The 13,098-nt window shown below is 40.2% G+C and overlaps 1 protein-coding gene across 1 annotated transcript in view; it reads left to right on the top strand.

Moving 5' to 3' along the window:
- The window catches only part of CNTNAP3B (contactin associated protein family member 3B), a 238,891-nt gene that overhangs the window by 13,701 nt on the left and 212,092 nt on the right, over positions 1-13,098 (top strand). The window contains exon 2 of the mRNA NM_001201380.3: positions 10,987-11,097. Within this exon, the coding sequence (NP_001188309.2) occupies positions 10,987-11,097 (111 nt within the window). The remainder of the gene's footprint in view (positions 1-10,986; positions 11,098-13,098) is intronic.

Here is a 13,098-nt window from a genome sequence, read left to right as displayed (position 1 = left end):
TGATGGTGGTGACGTACAGATGGGGTTTTGTGTGGTTGTCCTTTCTGTTTGTTAGTTTTCCTTCTAAGAGTCAGGACCCTCAGCTGCAGGTCTGTTGGAGTTTGCTGGAGGTCCAGTCCAGACCCTGTTTGCCTGGGTATCACCAGCAGAGGCTGCAGAACAGCAAATATTGCAGAATGGCAAATGTTGCTGTCTGATCCTTCCTCTGGAAGCTTCGTCTCAGAGGGGCACCTGGCTGTATGCGGTGTCAGTCAGCCCCTACTGGGAGTTGTCTCCCAGTTAGGCTACGCAGGGGTCAGGGACCCACTTAAGGAGGCAGTCTTTCCATTCTCAGATCTCAAACTCCATGCTGGGAGAACCACTACTGTCACCAAAGCTCAGTCGGAAATTCAGAAATCACCTGTCTTCTGCGTCGTTCATGCTGGGAGCTGTAGACTGGAGCTGTTCCTATTCGACCATCTTGGATCCGGACCTGTCTATTTTCTTAGCCTTATGAGCTTTGTCAAAAGAGTGCAGCTTCTTCTGTTTTTTCTTATGAGTATACAAAAAATCTCTTTGATTGCATTTAGCAATGTTTGAAAGTCTTAATGTGTTCTGGGCTTTAACTCACTTTGCTTTATATTGCCTCCTTTTAATGTTCCTTTTCATTGTAAGTATTTCTTTTTTTTTTCCGATATGGAGTCTTGCTCTGTCACCTAGGCTGGAGAGCAGTGGCACAATCTTGGCTCACTGCAACCTCCACCTCCCGGGTTCCAGTGATTCTCCTGCCTCAGCCTCCCGAGTAGCTGGGATTGCAAGTTCCCGCTACCATGCCCAGCTAATTTTTGTATTTTTACTAAAGATGGAGTTTCACCATGTTGGCCAGGCTCGTCTCAAACTCCTGACCTTGTGATCCACCCATCTTGACCACTGCGCCCAGTCTCACTGTAAATATTCTTTCCTTGGTTACTTTGCCCATTTCTCTCTTCTTCAGTGGAACATGTTTTTTCTGGGTTTCATTTGGGTAGCTTTTCACATTTGATGAACGATGTTGTCCTCAATCATAACAACAGTGTCTCTTTGTATAGTGGTTGCTCGGAGGTCTACAAGGTAGTATTATGTAACATTTCCCATTGTGTTCTAAATACTCTTATCTTTTTAAGTTAAAAAATTGAAGTCAAAGCTGCCTCTAAAGTCACACACATAGCTTGAAATAATAGAGTTGAAATTTGGACATAAAACATATTGCCATGGGATAATGCCTGTTGTTTTCCTAAAGTTTTAAAATTATCTTTTTGACATCTCAAATAAACATTTGTCTATTGACAGGGCTCCTTCCTTGGGCACAATAAATTCTAAGATGTTCTGGTTATTATTTTCTCAAGGATTCTGACACTGCCATCTTACTAATCATATTAGAGCCAAGTACGGAGTAGTGAACAAGTTCTGATAATTTGCAGGTTTATTACTTTGGGCTGAAAAAAATCTAGCTGATGTCATTGGTCTTGTTGGGATCTGTCTTCAGAATGCAATTGGAGTGCATCTCTTAACCCTTACTTAAGTATCACTGAAGTTCTCTTTCTTCAGCTCCCAGATGCTCCATAGCCTGCTCTGGCCTGTGAGGTCATGAGGTCCCTTTAAGATGTTATAAGTTGAACACAGTCTTCTTTCCATCCCTCTGTAACATGTCTTGGGAAGAAGCCATATCCTTCTCATACCTTATATTCTCATTCAGACCCTAATTCTGTCAACTCTCAGAGGTGCATAGAAAGAATTATTATTATTTTTAATTTTTTTAGTTTTTAATTTTGTGGTTGCATAGTAGGTGTATATATCGATGGTCTACATGAGATGTTTTGATACAGGCATGCAATGTGAAATAAGTGCATCAAGAAAAATGGAGTATCCATCCCCTCAAGCAATTATCCTTCGAGTTGCAAACAATCCAATTACACTCTTTAAGTTATTTAAAAATGTACAATTAAGTAATTATTGACTATAGTCACCTCTTGTGTTATCAAATACTAGGTGTTATTCATTTTTTCTATTTTTTTGTACCCGTGGAAAGATCATTTATTGCCCTTTATTAACAGTTCATCTTTATCACTTATATTCCCACAGCTGTGGATACATTTGTAATAACAATTATTAGTGATGACATCGCCACATGATTTTCTTTTTAAATTATATGCACCTGTGTTGTTGTATTTTTTTCTGTGTCGTGTCTGATGTCTTTCTGCACGACTTAATTTTGTTATTTGGTTTCCTCTCTTTCTACTTAGCAGTAAGTCTCAAAAAAATAGGTTCGTCTTATTCTCGTATTATATACTTTAGCCAAAAATCTATAGTTTAAAAATAGGTATTGAATTTATCACAGAAGTATAATTTAACTACATAGCAAGAAATTTAGAAATAAAAGGAAAGAGAACAAGATCATCTATCCAGCTTCCTCAGGGAAAAGGAGCTGATCTATGTTGAATCCCTTCTGTGTTTCTAGAGCTGTGTTTGTTGGATTTAACACCCATTATCTCATCTCAATCCAGCAGATCTCTTTGTCCATTATCTTCTCATATGCAGATTTTCCCATCCCATCTCCTTCATCTCTCCACATGTTTAAATAGTTCTTATATTTATTGTTGTAATGACTGTAGAGTAGATCGTCAAACTAAGATGCTTAAATTTATGTAAACTTGACCGGGCATGGTGGCTCACGCCTGTAATCCCAGCACTTTGGGAGGTTGAGGCAGGTGGATCACGAGATCAGGAGATCGATACTATCTTGGCTAACATGGTGAAACCCCGTGTCTACTAAAAATACAAAAAAAATTTAGCCTGGGCGACAGGGCGAGGCTCCGTCTCAAAAAAAAAAAAAAAAAAACTCTGTAAACTTTCCTCTAGGTCTTCATTTGTGTTGTGTCTTTTGTAGTTCTCATAGAATAAAGTCCTTGGTCCTGGTATGTTAAAATTGGTATACTGTTGTTATAACTTTATATTTGTAGTGCTGTAAGTCATTTGAAAACACCAATGTCAGGAGGTATTCAATGTTCCTATGCTAGGTTTTCTTTAACAAGTCAAAATGTCATCTGGAAGGAGAGACAACGTGTAACCCCTATCTCCTACCCCCTGTAAATTCTAATTTATAGAATTTAAACCTGTTTCTATGTGTCTTCTTCCAAGCCTCATCTGTTCCCACAGGTAGACTCTAGGAATTGTCTGTCATGTCCCGGGAACCAGACACTCATCAGCTGGTCATGCCAGTCTCTCTTCCTCACCCCAGAATCATCAGTCAGCAGGCAAGGCTCCTTTCTCAGGAGTGAGGTTCTCCTGTTCCCTCTCATCCCCATCTGCCGCCGCACATGGCTGCTGTGTGGCTCCCTGTGAGTGAGGTGCTGCTCCTTCTCCAGAGGTGTAATTCATTTTCCATGAGACAGACCTCAGTATTTCAGAAGAGTAAGCCTTACTGGGGCCTTCACACATGTGAGAAGACTTCAGAGCAGAGACAAAACTTGAGTTGAGCCCTGAAGATAATAAGTGATGGGAACTCGCAGACAGCAGGGGCTGCAATGTCATCGGGTGAGCGGTCAAGGAGCATTGGTGCATGCATCCCACATTCAGGAAACAGTGAGAAGACCACTCCAATTAAAGGAGGAAGCGCATCTGAGAAATGTGTAGGGGATTCGGCTGTAGTGCAGAGAGTAACGGGGAACAGGTGATGGAAGGAATTGAATGCCAGGACCTGAAATTTGAATTTCAGGACAGGTGCAGTGGGGATCCATTGGAGCTCGTTGATATGGCTGTTTGTGTGACTTGCACTCAGCAATAGTTTAAAACCGTTTCTGCTCTGGTGATATGTAAGGTGTGTGTGTGGCTGGGGACAGTCAATAAGGAAACATTGGCTGTAAGGATTAGTTAGGTCGTTAACATGAGGACCTACAGTGAGATGATGATCATGATAATGGAAAAGCTGCCATATACACACAAAAAGTACATAATCCTTGGCAATTTATTGGCTGTAGAGGGAAGATAAGGGTGGGGGCTCAGGACAGTGTACTTATTGAGTATTTTTCAGTTTCAGGTGACCAAAATCTAAGATCAAATAGGCTTGAACAATAAAGGGAACCAAAGTGTCTTGATTGAAGCCAGGCTGAATTTAGGCAATCAGATTCTTTCATCAGCAGTCTGCCTCTTTCCTTCTTGCAGTTTTATTTTCATCTACAACTGGCCTCATTCTTGGGCAGCTCTGTCTATGCCTTAGCTTCAGGCATACCGTTTACCAGCTTAGGAGCGTGACTATTTTCCTTTATTTCTGTTCTTAGCAATGTTGAGTTCTACAGATACTATGCCTTTATTTGTTTATTCTACTCAGTAGGATAAGCTTCACAGGAGCAGAGACTTTTTCTGTTGTTTATGGTTATATCCCCAGAACATAGGGGCACACCTGGCACAGTATAGATTTTCAACAAATATTTGTTGAATGAATGAATGGGTATTTCTCCCAAGAGTTCAAGCCGAAAGTCCCAAGTTCTGCTGTTATTCATTCGAAAGTCCCAGGTTCTGTTCCCATTCATTCAGCGTGGGCTTCCTGACCATCCTGGAACCAGTCCTTTCCAGTAGGACAGGCATGACATTCAGTTGCCAGGCCTGAGGCTTGTCCCTGTGCTGGCCCCAGGTGGTAGGGTGAGCCCCCTTCAGACCCCATGGAGTGAGATGTAGGGAAGACAGTGACTGAAGATAATCGAATGGAGATCAAGACCATGTAAAACAGAAGTTTTTATATGGAAAACAGTAGATTTTTACATTGACCATCACTGCTTATGTTCACTGTGAGTAAAATGTACTTTTTCCGAAGCATTCCCTCTAGATAGCAATGCACAGATCAATTCAGATTCATAATAAGATGAACTTTTGGTACCTTCTAAATAAAAGCATTATTTAACCTCTCATTAAGATAATGTTAAGGTACATTAAGAACTGAAAAGACAGGTGATGAAATGGGAAGAATGGAATAGCGCCGTATCCAGATGAACATCCAGACGTGGCCTGAAGAAGGTATGGGCACCCCCTTCCCTGTTTGTGATTCGATTCCCGAGGCCGTGCTCCCTGCTGACTCAATATGTGGAACCAGAGAGAAGCCTGCTGTGGAGTTAGTGAATTTGACCTAATCGAGACAGTCTGAGAAAGGACAGGAATCTTTTTTTTTCTTTTTTTTTTTTTTAGAACAAAGAGGTTTTCTGTACATCTGTGATAACACAGTAACCATCTGTTGAACTCTTTAATAATAGGCTTTGTGTTTTTCTGATAATTCGAAGCTGGTTAAGGTGCCGTCCCCTCATATTAGCAGTTCGGTGGCCCCTTCCCCTCTCCTTCCATCCTTAGGTTCCGCCGACACAGTGCTTAGCTCCTTTCACAGTGAGGAGCAAGTGCAGCCGCAAGCATGGGGAGAGCCACAGCCTGGCAGAGTGGCTTAGCATCACGAAGCCCTTCTCAGAAGGAATTGAGTATCTGTGCGATTCAAAGGGATGTTAAACGTATTTTCAGTGGAACTCTCCTGCATTTGCCCTAAAATATCCAATATGTAATTCCATATAAAGTGTGTTCATTTCCTATGGCCCTTGTGAGAAATGACCATAAACTGGCAGACTTAAAGCAAAAGAATTTATTCTGTCATAGTCTGGAGACCAGAAGTTCCGCATCAGTATCCCTAGTCCAAAATCAAGATGGGCCACACTCCCTACGAAGGCTCTAGGGGGACATGCATTCTTCGTTTCTTCCGGCTTCCTGTGGTTGCCCGTGTGCCTCACCTTGTGGGTGCCTCACTCCATTTTCACACCCTCTTCTCTTTTGTATGGGGCTCTGTTCATCATCACCTTTATCTCTCTTACAAGGGCAGTTCTGATGGTATTTAAGACCCAGCCAGATAATTCAAGATAATTTCCTCGTCTCAGGGTCTTTGATCACATCTGGAGAACCTTACCTTCTGAAGTAACCTTCACAGGGTCCCGGGATTGGGGCATAGACATATCTTTGGGAGCCACTGTCAGCCTGTCCTAACACATGTAAGATTCATCTCTGATAAAGGCATTCAGCCACAAGTGCAGTGTGGTTTGGTCTTTTAATAAAATCCTTTAAGTAATACTGTAATGAATTCGGAGCTCCATCTGGAGATGCCAGGAGGTGTCCTCATTTGAATGTAAAGCTCCTCCCCAAAGGATCAGTTGTCGCCCCTCCTTTTGGCTTTTCCCATTTCCTCTGCAGATACGGACAAAATCTGTCCATGTATTATCCATGCATTCTTTTTTTTTTTCATTCTTATTATCAGATCCCAGAATAATGAATTGCTGTTTGAAAATGCATGGTTTATGTTTATCTTTTCCAGAAGCACTTTTATACGCATCTCTCCCTAGTAGTGTTTGCTCTTTCAGAGGCTGGTTTTGTTCCTAAGCAATTAAGATGCTTCCCTGTGTTTTGGAATAAATAGTAGTATCTAAATATTTTGCTCTTCTGTTTATTTCCTATAACAGATATTTACACATCTCCCTCCCATGTTAGATTCTGGACTTCTTGAACCTAGAACCATGTCTCTCTTTATGCCCCATAATGCTTTGAACATGGTAGGTGCTCAATACACTTTTATTAAATAAGTGCAAGAATTAACATACTCAAATGAAATGCTGTTTTGAAAAGTATATCATCTCTGTCTTAGGTAAGGGCAATTCCTCAAATTGATTTTTTAATCATTTCATATTCATGTGGTAAAAATTGTCATAAACTAGCACATCTGTGAATGCAATGTTGATTTGTATACAGGAAGCCCTTAGGCTAATTTTAATCTTCTGCTGTCTTTCATGAACATAATACTAAGAAATGGTTTCTGTCCCAAACCGTTCATAGGCACCATGCTGGGAATCACAAAGCATGCTGGGAATACTTGTCAAGGAGAAGTGGGAAGCTAAGAGTGATGCCAGGCAGGGGTCAGGGGACAAATCAAGACCATAGAGTGGGGAGAGAGGAACCTAGGCAGAGCTAATCACCGAGACTAAATCAACAAGCCTAAGGAAGTGCAGCAAGCCAAAAACCCTCTGGTCTAGCGTGCATCTTCAAAGTTGTCACTTGAGGTGGCTGCATGGAAGGTGGCAGGTGGGATCCTCTATGGGTTTATCTCTACTTCTCTCTCAACCGTTGTTGAGCCTTCAGCTAAGTCACCAACCCATACTGTGTTTATTCTCTGCATTTTCCAAATGCTTCTCTTCTTCAAACCTGCAAGTTTTAATATGAATCCAGCTGTTACCCAGTTCAGCACAGGTGATTTTTAAGGAAGTCCACCATTTTTGAACAGATATAAAACAACCCTGAATAAAACATTTTATATCATTTTCAACCATGATCTTCTAGGAGAACAATAATATAAAATATACCTATGTAGCAATGAATCTCTGCCTTTAGATGGTGAGAATAAATGTGAAATAATCAATACTTGTAACATTAAGACCCTAGAACCCTCTATATTGAGCCAAGCACATGGAAATATAGTGAATCTTAACCAGATTTCCAAATAAGCTGAGGAAGAGGGAGATCCAGCCCCTGTAACACTTGTGGGGTGCCCACTGTGTTTTCCCCTCTGACTCAGTAGTGTACAATTCTTTCTAGAAAGAAAGTGTTCACAGAATTCAAAATGATAGGGAAAAAACAATAAACTTAGGTACCAGATATGTTCTTATGTTCTTTTATTTTATAAAATTTAGTGCCTTTCTTTCTTTCTTTTTTTTTTTTTTAAGACGGAGTCTTTCTCTGTCGCCCAGCCTAGAGTGTACTGGCACCATCTGGGCTCACTGCAACCTCCTCCTCCCAGGTTCAAGCGATTCTCCTGCTTCAGCCTCCTGGGAAGCTGGGACTATGGGCACGTGCCACCATGCCCAGCTAATTTTTTGTATTTTTAGTAGAGACGGGGTTTCACCGTATTAGCCAGGATGGTCTCGATCTCCTGACCTTGTGATCCACCCGCCTTGGTCTCCCAAAGTGTTGGGATTACAGGTGTGAGCCACCGCGCCCGAATTTATTGCCTTTCTGAAGGGCAAGATTTATTCAAGCCTGTGCCAGAAATTTTCTTCATTACAAGGTGACTCTTTGGCAGACAGATGCTATTGACTCTTGAATTTTCCAAAGGCGAAATGGAAAATTTCAGCAATTTTGTTTCCAGCTGTCTTTACAGATTTATATTTGGACCTTAATCCTATTGGAAATCATCTGAAACTCGTGAAACACACAATTGGAAAGTTAATTAGGGAGAAACCAAGGGAAAGAATAACTATTATCTATTACACCTATTTAGAACCTTCTCTTGAGATCTGGTTATTATTTTTATTAGAGATGTGAATCTGATACCTGTAGGCCTCTTGTGTTTGAACTTTAATAAATTGTACTCTGCTAACTTAGGAAGACTAAGTTTAATTAAGTGTATTGGTTAATGATAATTCTCTTTTACGTATTTAGTAAATATTCAGTTGAAGTTTATTGAGCATGTGCTATCTTTCAGATTCTGCGCTAGGTATAGAGCACATGAAGTTGGGAAAGACTTTTATTGTGCCTTCAAGAGCTCATGATTCCACAGAGAGAGTTAGACATGTCAGCCAGGAATCCCAGGGACACGTGAAATGCCCAGTGCTGTTTCATGTATCGCATGATACTGCAGGAATCCAGGGACACGTGAAACGCCCAGTGCTGTTTTATGTGTTGCATGATACTGCAGGACAGAGGCATCATGAGAACAGCTATCATGCTTTTCTAATGTAGGAAGAGATTTTATCCAAAAAATGTCAATGCTACTTTAGATGTTCTTGGATTTGTTTTATTCTTTCCCAGAAAATAGAGAGAAAATAACATCAGGCAGACAGGCTTAGGAGGCACTATTCCCTGGATGATGTCCTTCCTTCTTGGATCCTGCTGTGACCACTCGTGGGCCATGTGGGACTTGTCTATAGATGGAGCAGAGCCTTAGTTGCCTTCTTGTACTTTAGCTTCTTCACAGTTTTAAAATGCCTTTTTAGAAAATGTAAGTAAAGTTCGTAGCCAGTTGGATTCGTATTTATCTATTTTTCTTAGCCCACTCTGTAGCATATTTGCTGACATCTGGGAATCCCGACTGCACAGTGTTATCCAGAGAGCATGTGTGCTGGGGAAATCAAGAAAGCCTCTCTTGTGGCATAAACATTGAGGGGGACATTTAAGGAAAGTGTAGAGAAAGCAAACCTTTCTTAACAGCTCTGCACATTTCAATGGCTTCTTGCTGTGTAAAAATATTGGGTGCTCTTCATGCTAAAGATGTTAAATGCAATTTCTTAGCTAGATTATGCTGCTCTTTGTATGTAAAAAAATCACAAATTCCAGTGTCTGACTCACCTGTATAAATGTGACATTGTCACTTATGGGGAATATATAGAAAAATGTTCCTATATCAAATACTCTGAATGTTTTACCAAGCAATGAGATACTGTTCTCCCTATTGTAGAATAGATGCTTCACAATGAGTTACTGAGTTTTTCTTTTGTCATGTCTTAAAGACATGTCACTGTCTTAATGGTAATGCATGCTTTTAGAAAAGCAGATATAATTCCAGTATTTCTTTATGAAATGATATTCACTCAGGCAAATTATGTGCACTGAATTTTCTTTCTGTTGTTGCAGTATCATGTACTCAACCAAACAAATCAGGAGAGACCCTGAATTACCTCTTATCTATCTCACTGAACATAGTTGACATTTTGCTAAGTCGTAGCAATCTAATTAATTCTGGTTGCCTTCTTTCTGTGACTTAACAAGTTGCTCACAAAGAAAAAAAGTGTATCCAAAATATGCAGTTCAGAATCATCTAATGATATATTCAAGGTATAACATTCCTCTTTCACAGACATATCTTAATGTGTGACAGAAAACTTATGTGTAACATTATTAGATCAATAACCATGCTGGAAGAGGTACCCTTTTTATGACAAAATATATGACATGCCTGAAAGTACAGTGATTACAGGATTGGACTGCGGGACTCAGAGGTAACCTCTGGGTTGCTTCTGTTACCCATGGCTACGCATAGGAAAAGAGCTACCCAAGGTGGGAATGGTCCCAGGGGCTCCTCAAGTTTGATGGTGGGGAACACCAGGGGCAAGAAGGCTCTGAGGGTCCTTATGGTCTTAGGACAAATAAGATGATCTGGGTCAAACACTACTTAACCCCCAGCAATTCTTTTAGACCAGAGCTGAAGCAATAGAGAGTCACCCTGAGGTGAGGATGACATGGTGACATGCAGGGGTCCTTGGGTTGGAAAGGCAGAGCAAGTTCCTGCAATGCTCAAGTTATCAGGCAAAAAGGAGGAGCCTCCATCTCCTGTAGGCAAGTAGCCCGCAGTAATTCCCTCTGGAGGGGTCTACAGAGTGGGCTTTTTCCAGTTCATCACTACAGGTGTTGCCTCTCATGGGTCCTGGCTTCACGCAGGTAACTCTGACCTGAACACCTGGTGCATTTCACTTTTCCCATCCCCCACAGGTTCTGTGCTGGGGCACTGTGAGAATTTCTAGCCGCTATTGAGGTTTGGGCACAGAATTCACACTACCTCTGTATGTGTGTACCTAAAGAACCTAAGCATCAAATTGAGTTTAAAGTAGTGTTGGATGGGTGATGTACCCAGACATCTTGCAGAATTGAGAAAATGTGGGACATTAGGGAACTTTGAGGGCTAATGGACCTGTTTTATGTCTTCATTATGGTGGAGGTTACAAGGCAGAATGCATTTGCCAAAATGAATAGAGCTGTACACTTTAAAAACATCAAATAAATTCTCTGGAATTTTACTCTCTGTAAATTATGCTGCAATGTAAATTTTAAAAATTGTAAAGAATTAAAAAAGGAGTGATGATTGCCATACATCCTAGAATATATTCATATATATTTTTGGACTATTATTTCTCCCAAGCTGCAATCTGAGTGTTAACCATATCACGGTATTTTTCCTGGCAGCTGACTGTGATTCCCCACTGGCCTCTGCCTTGCCTAGGTCATCCTTCAGCAGCTCCTCAGAGCTGTCCAGCAGCCACGGCCCGGGGTTTTCAAGGCTTAATCGAAGAGATGGTGAGTCTGCCTTTTTCCTTGTATTGCTCCTTGGTGACTCTCATTGGATTTTCTTTTAACAAAATAATTATAATTGATTAATACTTTGCAGAAGGAAGTAAAATTCAGAATAAGCATATTTGTTCACATTTGAAACTCCAAGAATGTATTTGACAGGAATAAGTTGATCACTTCGGCTTTCTTGTCCTGCTGGGTTTCCCTTGGTATGATCTTTGTGTGCCTTGAACAAGTCACACCTGACTTTGACAGTGTTTGAACTCTTTGTATACCCCTTGCAATATCTGAGTATTATTTATCAAAGACCTTAGATTCTGCCATGTCCTTTTTTTTTTTACCTTGGATTCTTTTGTTCTGCCACAGTATACATTTTGTTGTCCCAGATTATTTAATTATCCCTATTTGGATGAGAAAATTGGCAAAGTAAAGAAACGTTTAAGAAGATTTTTATTATGTTTTAACTACAACTCTTAGTTTATTTCTTATTATGGTGGACTTGATTCTCTCTTTAGCATCCACTGTAGAGAAATAACCATGTAATGGTTTATTCATGCTCCACTGTGACTATTCCATTTATATTTGTAAACATATCTCATGAGGAGTGTGTTTCTTTTACATATGCTTAAGCAGAAGTGTAGAAAATTGAATGTTGTCTTGCTGTGTAAATTAGAGGGAACTTTAAACACCAAATACATTGTGACAAGGAATCATCCTGGCATTTTCTGAGCACAAACTCAGATAGAACTTCTTTGAATAAATTCTCAGAGGAAATTAAATTTACACTATTAATAAAATGTATTTGTAGGCATATATTAAAAAGATTCAAAAGTGTCTACTGTATTTTATATAATTGTGCTTTCCTATTTTCTTATTGCCCTTGTTCTTTTTTTTTTTTTTGAGACGGAGTCTCGCTCTGTCACCCAGGCTGGAGTGCGGTGGTGCAATCTCAGCTCACTGCAAGCTCTGCCTCCTGGGTTCACACAATTCTCCTGCCTCAGCCTCCCAAGTGGCTAGGACTACAGGCACCCGCCACCAGGCCTGACTAATTTTTTGTATTTTTTTTTTTTTTTTTAGCAGGGACGGGGTTTCACCATGTTAGCCAAGGTGGTCTGGATCTCCTCACCTCCTGATCCACCCACCTCAGCCTCCTGAAGTGATAGGATTATAGGCGTGAGCCTGTAACCGCGCCCAGCCTTTTTTTTTTTTTTTTTTTAACTCCCTGTTGCATTTCTTGGTGTTTTCTGTATTTGAGCACATTTAATGCATTGCACATTGGACCAAATAAATATGTTCTGGCATTTGTTATAGGCAGTATGGCTATGAAACATGAACAATTTAACTTTTCATTTTTCTGTTTATTTTTCTTAAGTCTGTGATTTCATTTGTTGCAGAGATATGGGCTCTGTTTCGTTACTTTAGATTCTATTGCTGCAGAGCCTCAGTGGATGGTCATTATCACTGAAACAGTGACTAAGCCTGGGCACAGGGGGTAAAGGAAAACAAGAGCAATCTCAAGCCATAGCTCTTCTTGATGTCAAATCATATTTTGTACTAAAGTACATGATTATGAGGATTCTTTATCTTAGGGATCATTTTTATTCTTAGTTCATGTTCCTGTAACTCATCGTGCAAAAAAGCATGATATCAATCTTAATAAAATTTATTTTCATGTTAATGAAGTTAGAAAAACAGGCTTACTTTAGTTAGCTATCAACTAAGTTTATTACAAATTCATTGTTGTTGCTTTTTTAAATTGGTTTTGACTTTTTTCTTCTCCCTCGTGGTAGCCTGGAGTATTCATCAAAGGAGTTCCAAATTGGGAGTGATTTATTGAGGGCTATAGATTATCTCTAGTGTTTTCATATCCTTTATTAGATTCAGAATGGTCTATGGAAGAGTGACTGAACAAATGTTCTGATCATAAATAATTAAACTAACAAATAATGACCCCCTGTCTCAGACATTAAAGCCTTTCTCCAGTGGAGTGTAAAGATCTCAGAGCTA

The sequence above is a fragment of the Homo sapiens genome, chromosome 9 (assembly GCF_000001405.40).
Source record: "Homo sapiens chromosome 9, GRCh38.p14 Primary Assembly".
Taxonomy (NCBI): Eukaryota; Metazoa; Chordata; class Mammalia; order Primates; family Hominidae; genus Homo; species Homo sapiens.
Note: the sequence above shows the minus strand (reverse complement) of the source record. Positions and strands in the feature narration are given on the sequence as shown.